At 40.9% G+C, this 11,662-nt stretch overlaps 2 annotated features.

Moving 5' to 3' along the window:
- Window positions 5,229-5,771: an enhancer, noted in NCBI's record as "OCT4-NANOG hESC enhancer chrX:16060812-16061354 (GRCh37/hg19 assembly coordinates)". NCBI's record gives its function as "activates a minimal SCP1, AML or CMV promoter by ChIP-STARR-seq in primed H9 embryonic stem cells {active_cell/tissue: H9 hESC(primed)}" and the evidence as "EXISTENCE:reporter gene assay evidence [ECO:0000049][PMID:30033119]".
- Window positions 10,131-10,631: an enhancer, noted in NCBI's record as "H3K4me1 hESC enhancer chrX:16065714-16066214 (GRCh37/hg19 assembly coordinates)". NCBI's record gives its function as "activates a minimal SCP1, AML or CMV promoter by ChIP-STARR-seq in primed H9 embryonic stem cells {active_cell/tissue: H9 hESC(primed)}" and the evidence as "EXISTENCE:reporter gene assay evidence [ECO:0000049][PMID:30033119]".

The raw sequence follows: 11,662 nt of genomic DNA on the forward strand, positions 1-11,662 counted from the left end.
TACAGTCTGTGGCATTCTGCTTTCATAGCATAAAATGGAGTAAGACAAATGGCATAAGACAATTTGTAAATTCCTAGCCTTCTCCTTCCAAGCACAACTGTTTGTCTTTCATTCAGTGGTCTGCTTAGCCATCTTTATATCAGGATATCAGATATCTTTATATCAGAATCAGAGCCTTCTTTATACCAGAATAGCTTCACTGCTTATTCTTTTATCATATTTATTGTGTGTCTGTATGCCAGCTACCATCCTAAGGTCTGAAGATATTGTGGTGGGCAAAATAGATATTATACTGCCATCATAGAACTTTCAGTCTAACGGTACATGATGGGCATTAAGCAAATGATTAGATAATCACTTAATTGATTACAATTGTGGTAAATGCTTCTAAGAAGAAGTTGTGAGAGCATACCTAACTCTTATTTTTATTTTTGCATTTTCAAATGATTGATTCTATAGCTTTCTCTTATACCTCCTTAGAAAATTCATTTAGAAACTTGGGCTTCTGTAATGGGAAACTTTCTGGCTCATCTGATTTCTCTCTATCTATACTCCCCATCTACTGCACCACACAAGATTTGGTACCACCTTACTGCAAAGAAGCCCTGGATTGGTTTTGGGAGGCAAGATGTAAAGGCACTAAATTATTGAGTGGAGCATTAGAAAAGCATAAAAAAGAATTCATAAGAATTCTCCAGTGCAAAAGGACAGACCTCTATCGAACTCGTTGTTAGATCAGACTAGTGACAAAAGAAACTTTTTCATAGCTCTGAGTATACATTTATTAACTTCTAGCTTAATTTTAATCTCACCACTGGCTTTAAAAATATACAATAATACTTCACCTAGCACTCTCAAAATCTCCAGCAAACTAAAATAGTAAATCAGAGATAACCAGAAAACACACTATTCTCCAAGTAATAAAATAAAACCAAGGCAACTATAAAAAATCAACCAGTGAAAACATACCAGACATTACATTTAGGCAGTTCTCACACAAACTGTTTTGGGTGAACAATTTTTATAAGACGTTCTTTATAATAGTCATATTTCATGGATCACTAAGAGATCTTAAAATTCTCTTCAAGTCCAAACTGAAAGCTCTTCCTCTCTAGAATGAAAATTTGTGGCGTGGTTGTAATCTGGGTGCTAATATAGTCCACCAGACACAGTAGACTGCAATTCCGCTTTCAGATGATATTCCAGAATCATTCCATACCATTGATGGGATTCTTGACATGCCACTCCAAAATATGGCATCTTGGCATTTGAGAAAACAGGAGAAGCAGAACGGTCACTCTTACATTCCCCTCATCTTTCTTCCCTGAAATAGATCATAAAACCTAGGAAGGCCACTCTCTGACCTCCCTCTCTTCTTTCTGAAGGCCCTTATGTGACAGGTATCCTGCCCTACACAGAGATGCCAAGAAAAATCTGAACAAACAGGCCTTGCTAAGTTCGCCACAGTTTTGTTTTTTTTTTTTTTTTTACTATTAGACCACATCCTTTTGTCCTCCATTCATACTTCTGCATGACTGCTCATAGAAATACACAGGTTTCTCTGTTTTTTTTTTTCTTGCTCTTCATTTCTGAAGGCTCCTGTGTCACATAAAGCTTATATTAAATAAATTTGTATACCGGTCTCTTGTTAATCTGTCTTTTATTATAGGAATCTCAGCCATGAACCTTGCTATGGTTGAGGAAAAATATATTACTTTTTCTCCCCTATGGCATCCCAAACAATTCCCAGCCATCCTCGTTTGTAAATAATTCCTATGCATTTCTAGCCAGAATATTTTCAAAGCAAACATCCAGAATTTTTTCAAAGCAAAGCAAAACTGGAGAATTATTGAGTGCCAATATATTAACATATATACTGAATTCCATTTTCACCTGGACACAAGGTGTGCAAATTGTATGCATTGAATAAATGTCCCATGTCAATGTCTTATATCTTTATCTCTAAGTGAAATTTGTGTTGATGGACACATTCACCTCAAAAAGAAAGTAGGTTTGTTTCTCATTTAAGAGATGGCAGTCTCATATCTTTTCCTCTAGCACCTCTGTACCCCTTTCCCTGCTCTCACTCTCAGCTGATGACATCTCATACTTAGTTGAGAAAGCTGAAGTCACTAGACAGGAAACTATCTTTTCTATATTTGTCATCTTTTGTCCTGCTACAATGAAAGTTGTATGATTTCTTTTATCAAAGGTGCTCTGGCTCTGTCCCCAAGGACTTTGCTTCTGCCATTAGCCTTTCTTTTTCCTACATCACTTTTTTCTTCTCCATTGGATTTCTGTCATGAGCATAGAAATACACTTTAGTATTCCTACTACCCCCAATTAAAACCTTTTCAACTCTATATCTCCCTTTACTCCTCGTTCCTGGCAATTTTGTTGTAAGAGCTGCATCTATGTGCTGTCTTTACTTCCTCACCTCCCATTCTGGCCTCAGCTTATGCCAAACTGGCTTCAAACCACACCACCCCACTGAAACTGTAGTTGTTAGTGTCATTATTGGTCATAATTTTTGAAATCCAATCATCATTGTTTGATCTTTATTTTTCTAAATCTCTCAGCATTATAAAGAGCTTAGTACTTCTCTATTAAAAAAAATACTTTCTCTTTTGGCTTCTATGGCTTTACACTTAACTGCAGTGATTCTTAAAGTGTGGTTCCTGGGCCAGCAGCAATAGCATCACCTGGGAACTTGGTAGAAATGAAAGTTATTGAACCTTAACCCCTGTCAACTGAATCAGAAAATCTATGGGTAAGGCCCAGCAATCTGTGTTTCATAAGTCCTCCAGCTTATTCTAATCCAAGACAAAATTTGAGAACCACTGCTCTACTAATTTTCCTCCTACTTCAATTATAGTTCCTTTTAATTTTTGGCTTGTATCAGTTAGTTATTGCTTTATAACAGTTCACCCCAAAACCTAGTGACTTACAACCACCACCATTTCTTTATCTCATGAATAAGTTTCCCCATTGCTTTGTATATTTTCTTAGGTTAGGCTCCCCAGAAGAAGGCTATGAGGCAAGGATTTCAGAAAGGAAAGCATAAGGAAGTGAGATAGGAAAGAAAGGCAGCTAATATCAGGTATATTAATGAGCAGATTATTCCTGTGAACAACTGGGCTCGATCCCTCAGAGAGCTTCCAAGGCATTATCCCATCCAAAGGGTAAAGAGGCTGGGATATTTATCGACTAGCTCCCATTCTTCACTGGCTGTAACTTGTCCACGTCTCACAGCTGTAACTCCCTTGTATTCCCTACCTATCTGGTGTGAGGACCAAGCTTGTGTCTGTGGATAGAGAAAGCCCTAAAGCAGAAAGTCTAGGTGCTTGCACAAAAAGATCATCTGCACAGAATGATGATCAAGAGATGTGAGTGGGGCACCACAACATTTACCTCAGGAATCTCTGTTCAGGACTCAGCTTTGGTCTCAAACCTTGGGAAGCTTATACACTGAGGCAGTGTTAGGATCTCTTTTCTCTGCCTTCCTGTGCTTTTAAGTGTATTTCACTGTTTTTGATCCCTTGTCTGCCCCTTATATTTGACTATCAGGCTCTTGAAGGTCTATTACACTTACTCATTGTTTTTACCCCCTGTTCCTATCTCAGTGCCCAACACAGAGCTGACAGTTAATATATGTTGGTTGGATGCATGTGTGGGTATCTTATCTTTTTATCCTTTAAAAGACCTCACACGTAGATGAAAATTTTAAAATCATTAATTCAATCATCAATTCAATTCAATCATCTTTTTATCCTTTAAAAGACCTCACACATTGATGAAAATTTTAAAATCATTAATTCAATTGAAGAGGCCTTGTGATTGACATGAGTATAAATTGGACCATTATTAACTTCAAACTAATTCTACTATGCCAGAAACCATGCCTGAAGTATTAAAACATCACGTTAAAAAACAAAAGACAAAAAAAAAACTTATCTAAAAAATTACATTAAATAAAATAGACCAAAGGTAAATCTTACTCAAGTTTTCAGGAAAAAAAAATTGTTTTCTATACTCTTTTCTCACCTATTCTTCCTTGTCACAGAGAAGCAATTATTATATTAGACTTTCCTTTTTCAATGTGTAGATGACATCATATGATTTAAATTTTTTATGTATTTCTCTTGCAAAAAATGTCATGAGAAAGTTTAAATATAAATAAAACATTTCTTTTGGAAATTTTATAATTCAAGCTAATTTAAAATTATGTAAACCTCTATCTTTCATGTAATCTTCTTCCTTCTTTTAAAACAACATTTTTTTGGTGGTCATCTGTTCGGGAGAAAATGAAATTTTCTGTGGATAAGCAGATATTCTTCACGGAGAAAGCTAACATTCTGCATTCCTCTATTTTAAAAGTGGAAAACATAGTCCTGTTATTTGTATTTAGATGTATTTCTCACCAAAGAGTGCCAGGCTGGATTACAGAAGATCTATATTCTGATCTTGTCCTTTTTCTTTGCAAGCCTGAGGAATTGTCCAGACACAGAATTCCCTAGATCCCCAGATTTCTCACCTATAATATGAAGGGTTGAAAGAGAGGTCTCAATCGGCTTTGAATTTTCTGTTCTATACTTCTGCACCACCACTGTAGCACTGACAATTGCATGAAAATATTAAGCTCTATTATGTTTTCAGTACTATCCTTAGCTTCTTTAAAAAATTAGTCTAGCTGTGTTTGTAAATAAATGATGTCACTGGAAAAATGGTTTCATACCATTGTTGTCAATAGTTGAATGTGGCTTGCCCTCAGGAACAATGCATTCTTCAATAATATGGAGGATGGAAGGTGTATAAGGACTCAGATAGCTATTATTCTCATTTGCCCATGATCCTTTCATATCCCCGCCTCTGGTTTAGCATTCTCTTTCTTCCAGGGGAATTTCTCCCCCATTCCATGCATTCTAGTAGAATTTTTTATCACAGTAGATTGTCCTGCCCTGCCACAGAAATGGGCATTTGACACAGTGGCCACAAAGATTGGTCTAAGCAGTAGGCCTGTGACCCAAGGTAGGCCAATTAGAGTTTTCTGTAGAATTTTTTAGATTCAAAGTGTATGTGTGTGGGGGGGATGACTCTTCTTGAATTTTATATTAGGATGCATGCCAGAAATTGTTGAAAGGTCTTTAATGTACCATGTACAGGAAGCTTGCCTTTAGTAGGAGAGAATGGGACCATTACACAAGGAGAAGCAGAGATAGCAAAGATGAAGGATAGACGGAAAGCCAGAGGGCACCAAGTTCTTGGTTACAGGCCCTGATTCTGAACTTCTAGACTCTTACATTTGCCTGTTGAGATTTGTTCCTCTTTGTTTCATCATCCCTGGTTCTTTGACTTCATAATTCCCAATCTTTACTTTTGTAGGATACCAAAAATATGCCACCCGAAAATATGACTGTAGGAAACCAGAATATGCCACCCCAAAATATGACTCTTTGGCATAGGGATTATTTTGAGCTGATTATTTTGAGAAACTGCAGACACAGGAGAAGCTCTGAAAACAGAGTAGAAGTTACAGATTTGTAAGGGAAATTTACATCTATAAAAGAAATATCCATTTGTAAGGGTGTTTCCCTCTTTCTACCAGAAAGAAAAGAATGACTAAATCACTAGATACTCTTATCAATGGAGAAGGCACTAACTTAAATCTGCATAACAAACTTTGCTTTTGTTTATCAGACTTTTCCTGATTATTTCCTCAAAACCGGCCTTTTCTATACCCTTCTTTGTTTCAGTGGAGGTTGGTATTTAAGCCTGAATTCAAGGCTACCTCTTAGAAATTTACCCATTTTTTCTGAGTGTCTCCTGTGTATACATGAGGTCCACATGTTTAAAAAAAAAACAAAAAAACTTCTGTTTGTTTTTCTCTTCTTAATCTGTCTTTTGTTACAGGGGTCTACCCCAACTAAGCACTATGAGTAGTAGAAAGAAAATTATTTTTTATCTTCCACAGTTCATATGCCCTAGCTCTGACAACTCCTTGGTGTTGACTTTTATATCTACTCATTAAGTTCTGTGAGCTATCCCAGAATCTTCTTAGCTAGGTGAACTAATAAATCCCTTTTCTTGTTTATGATAGTTTGATTTGGATTTTAGTTTTTTTTGCAGTGAAAAGAGTCTTGGCTGATACTCAATATGAATGAGTAAGTGGTCTTGAGACAACTGAGAGTGAAACAAAAACATTTTTATAGGCCACTAATTAGAAGCCTAGTCTTTAAAGCCACCACTACGTAGCTACTCATGTGTTCTGAAATTACCTCATCATTGTGTCTAGGAAATAAAGGGTATGTGTGTTGAGGGGTGGGGAACTTGTTCTTGGAATGATTCATGGATAAGTGTCTATTGATGTTGTTGATACCATTAATGGCTTCAGTTTCATGATCTTTTCATGTCATCTTGCCAACACAACAATAATGAGCAAATATCTACCTAGATTTCCAAAGTCCTCATATGGTTTTCTATTACTCTATCAAATGGAGCCCTATAACCTATTCAAACAGAAGGATTTAACTCTATACTCCTCTTTCTAGACTTTTTGACTCTTATTATTTGCCTGTTAGGACCTGTTCCTCATATCTTCATCATCCCTGGTTCCTTAGTTCTTGCTTTGGGTTCCTTGGCTTTGATAACCTGTTTTGGACATGTTTCTCTATCCTGATGCTGACGCTTTCCTCACCTCCTAGCCCATAAGGGGAATCCACCTTTCCATTAACCAACACACCAGGAGAATGACATCTGGCAGTGTAAAATGTAATTGCCCAACAGGTTTGTCCTGCACTTTGCATGGACAAAATCAATTCACTGAGACTGTGGCATTGCAGTAAAGAAAGATTTTAGGCCAGGTGCGGTGGCTCATGGCTGTAATCCCAGCATTTTGGGAGGCCGAGCTGGGTGGATCACGAGGTCAGGCAATCGAGACCATCCTGGCTAACATGGTGAAACCCTGCCTCTACTAAAAATACACAAAAAATTAGCCTGGCGTGGTGGCGGGCACCCGTCATCCCAGTTACTCAGGAGGCTGAGGCAGGAGAATGACGTGAACCCGGGAGGTGGAGCTTGCAGTGAACCAAGATCGCGCCACTGCGCTCCAGCCTGGGTGACAGAGCGAGACTCCGTCTCAAAAAAAAAAAAAAAAAAAAAAAGAAAGATTTTAACTGACATGAGGCTGGCCATGATAGAGATGGAGTTATCACTCAAATCAGTCTCCCTGAAGGCTCAGAGGTTAGGGTTTTTTTTCACTTGCGTCCGTGTGAAGAGACCACCAAACAGGCTTTGTGTGAGCAATAAAGCTGTTTATTTCACCTGGGTGCAGGTGGGCTGAGTCCGAAAAGAGTCAGCGAAGGGAGATGGGGGTGGGGCCGTTTCATAGGATTTGGGTAGATAAAGGAAAATTACAGTCAAAGGGGGGTTGTTCTCTGGCAGGCAGAGTAGGGGTCACAGGGTGCTCAGTTGGGGAGCTTTTTGAGCCAGGATGAGCCAGGAGAAGGAATTTCACAAGACAATGTCATCAGTTAAGGAGGAACAGGCCATTTTCACTTCTTTTGTGGTGGAATGTCATCAGTTAAGGCAGGAACCAGCCATCTGGATGTGTACGTGCAGGTCACAGGGGATATGATGGCTTAGCTTGGGCTCAGAGGCCTGACATTCCTGTCTTCTTATATTAATAAGAAAAATAAAACAAAATAGTGGTAAAGTGTTGGGACGGTGAAAATTTTGGGGGGTGGTATGGAGAGATAATGGGCGATGTTTTTCAGGGCTGCTTTGAACAGGATTAGGGGCGGCATGGGAACTTAGAGTGGGAGTGGGAGAGATTAAGCTGAAGGAAGATTTTGTGGTAAGGGGTGATATTGTGGGACTGTTAGAAGAAACATTTGTCATTTAGAATTATTGGTGATGGCCTGGATAGTTTTGTATGAATTGAAAAACTAAACAGAATAAGAGAAGGAGAAAAACAGGTATTAAAGGTCTAAGAATTGGGAGGACCTAGGACATCTAATTAGAGAGTGCCTAAGGAGGCTCAGCATAGTCCTGTCAGCAAAGATTATTTATTTACTTCAAGAGTTAAGAGTGGTAGTTTGAGGATAGCACCAGGAGATATCAGCTGTGATGGCTTGGAGAAACAGTGTAAACCGGCAGTGTAAACAAGAGCAGGGCACGTATGAGTAGTTGAGAACGGTGAATAGGAGTATGACTAGACAGAAGATAGTAGGGATGACAAGTTTTTTGGGGCACAGTCCAAGTTGGTCTGGTGTCTGGAATGAGACTGGGGCCTAATAAAAAGGAGCATCTATACAGGAGCTCAAATGGGCTGTACCCTGTAGCATTCTGAGGACAGGTCTGACTTCTGAGAAGGGAAAGTGGTAAAAGTATTGTCCAGTCCTTTTTAAGTTGGTGGCTGAGCTTGGTGAGGTGTGTTTTTAAAAGACCTTTAGTCCGTTCTACTTTTCCTGAAGACGGAGGACCGTAAGGGATATAAAGGTTTCACTGAATACTAATAGCCTGAAAAATTGCTTGGCTGATTTGACTAATAAAGGCTGGTCTGTTATCAGACTGTATAGAGGTGGGAAGGCTAAACTGAGGAATTATGTCTGACAGAAGGGAAGAAATGACTGCGGTGGCCTTCTCAGACCTTGTAGGAAAGGCCTGTACTTATCTAGTGAAAGTGTCTACTTAGACTAAGAGGTATTTTAGTTATCTGACTCGGGGCATGTTGAGTAAAGCTAATTTGCCAGTCCTGGGTGGGGGCAAATCCTGGAGCTTGATGTGTAGGGAAGGGAGGGGGCCTGAATAATCCCTGAGGAGTAGTAGAATAGCAGATGGAACACTGAGAAGTTATTTCCTTGAGGATAGATTTCCATGATGGAAAGAAAATGAGAGGTTCTAAGAGGCGGGCTAGTGGCTTGTACTATAGCATAGCCTGCCTTTGCTGGTGTGTGGCGATTAGGCCTGGTGGAACTGCCATCAATAAATCAAGCGTGATCAGGGTGAGGAACAGGAAAGTAGGAAATATGGGGAAATGGGGTGAATGTCAGGTGGTTCAAAGAGATACAGTCATGGGGGTCAGGTGTGGTATCAGGAATAATGTGGGAGGCCAGATTGAAGTCCGGGCCAGGAACAATGGTAATTGTGGGACTTAACAAAGAGTGAGTACAGCTGAAGGAGCCGGGGAGCAGTAAGTATATGCGTCAGGTGTGAGGAAGAAAATAGATTTTGGAAGTTATGAGAAATGTAGAGAGTGAGTTGAACATAGTTTATGATTTTGAGGGCCTCTAAAAGTATTAAAGCAGCGGCAGCCACTGCACGCAGACATGAGGGCTAGGCTAAAACAGTAAGGTCAAGTTGTTTGGACAGAAAGGCTACAGGGAGTGGTCCTGGCTCTTGTGTAAGAATTCTGACCGCACTAACCATGCCTAGGAAGGAAAGGAGTTGTTGTTTTGTAAGGGATTGAGGTTTGGGAGATTAATGGAGATGATCGGCAGGGAGAGCACGTGAGTTTTTATGAGAATTATGCTGAGATAGGCAACAGATGAGGAAGAAATTTGGGCTTGACTGAAGCAATGGGGGCTGTCTGTGAAGCTTTGCGGCAGTACAGCCCAGGTAATTTGCTGAGCCTGATGGGTGTCACGGTCAGTCCAAGTGAAAGCGAAGAGAGGCTGGGATGACGGGTGCAAAGGAATAGTAAAGAAAGCATATTTGAGATCCAGAACAGAATAATGGATTGTGGAGGGAGGCATTGAGGATAGGAGAGTACATGGGTTTGGCACCATGGGGTGGATAGGCAAAACAATTTGGCTGATAAGGCGCAGATTCTGAACTAACCTGTAAGCCTTGTCTGGTTTTAGGACAGGTAAAATGGGGGAATGGTAAGGAGAGTTTATGGGCCTTAAAAGGCCATGCTGTAGCAGGCGAGTGATAACAGGCTTTAATCCTTTCAAAGCATGCTGTGGGATGGGATATTGGCATTGATCGGGGTAAGGGTGATTAGGTTTTAATGAGATGGTAAGGGGTGCATGATCGGTCACCAAGGAGGGAGTAGAGGTATCTTATACTTGTGGGTTAAGGTGGGGAGATACAAGAGGAGGACACAAAGGAGGCTTTGGATTGGGAAGAAGGGCAGCAATGAGATGTAGCTGTAGTCCAGGAATAGTCAGGGAAGCAGATAATTTAGTTAAAGTGTCTCGGCCTAATAAGGGAACTGCGCAGGTGGGGATAACTAAAAGGAGTGCTTAAAAGAGTATTGTCTAAGTTGGCACCAGAGTTGGGGAGTTTTAAGAGGTTTAGAAGCCTGGCTGTCAATACCCACAACAGTTATGGAGGCAAGGGAAACAGGCCCTTGAAAATAAGGTAATGTGGAGTGGGTAGCCTCCGTATTGATTAAGAAGGGGACGGACTTACTTTCCACTGTGAGAGTTACGTGAAGCTCAGCGTCCATTATGCTCTAGGGGGCTTCTGAGGCAATCGGGCAGCGTCAGTCTTCAGCCGCTAAGCCAAGAAGATCTGGGAAGCAGTCAGAGAGCCTTGGGCCAGAGTTCCAGGGGCTCTGGGAGTGGCTGCCAGGTGAGTTGGACAGTCCGATTTCCAGTGGGGTCCCGCACAGATGGGACGCAGCTTAGGAGGAATCCCGGGCTGCAGGCATTCCTTGGCCTGGTGGCCAGATTTCTGGCACTTGTAGCAAGCTCCTGGGGGAGGAGGTTCTGGAGGAACGCCTGGCCACTGCGGTTCAGACATTTGGAAGTTCTTGTGTGCTGGAGATGTGGCTGGGGTTTGTCTCACCGTGGAGGCAAGGAATTGCAACTTTTTTCTATTGTTGTACACCTTGAAGGCGAGGTTAATTAAATCCTGTTGTGGGGTTTGAGGGCCGGAATTTAATTTTTGGAGTTTTATTTAATGTCGGGAGCAGATTGGGTAATAAAATGTATTTTGAGAATAAGATGGCCTTTTGACCTTTTAGGGTCTAGGGCTGTAAAGTGTCTCAGGGTTGCTGCCAAAGGAGCCATGAACTGGGCTGGGTTTTTATATTTGATGAAAAAGAGCCTAAACGCTATCTGATTTGGGATAAAGAAAAAGGAGCATTAACCTTGACTATGCCTTTAGCTCCAGCCACCTTTTTAAGAGTAAAGTACCAGGCAGGTTGGGGAGGACTAGTCACGGAATGAAACTGTAAGCCGGACTGGGTGTGAGGAGGGGAGGTGATGAAAGGATTTTAGGGTGGAGGAGCGGAGGCTGAGGAAGAATTGGGACCTAGCTAGGCCTGGAGAGGAGGGGAGAGGTCAGATAGGTCTGTAGAAAAGGAAGATTAGAAAGACTCAGCAACACTTGGGGTTGGGACTGAGGGGACAGGTGGGAGGGAAAGAAGGAAGATTTGGGATGAGTTGCATTGGGAACAGAGACTAGAGAGGGACCGATGTGTAAAAGAATGCCTGGACGTCAGGCACCTCAGACCATTTGCCCATTTTACGACAAGAATTATTTAGATCTTGTAGGATGGAAAAATTGAAAGTGCTGTTTTCCGGCTATTTGGAACTACTGTCGAGTTTGTATTGGGGTCAAGTGGCATTGCAGAAGAAAATAAGACGCTTAGATTTTAGGTCAGGTGAGAGTTGAAGAGGTTTTAAGTTTTTGAGGACACAGGCTAAGGGAGAAG

Source organism: Homo sapiens, chromosome X (assembly GCF_000001405.40).
Source record: "Homo sapiens chromosome X, GRCh38.p14 Primary Assembly".
NCBI lineage: Eukaryota > Metazoa > Chordata > Mammalia > Primates > Hominidae > Homo > Homo sapiens.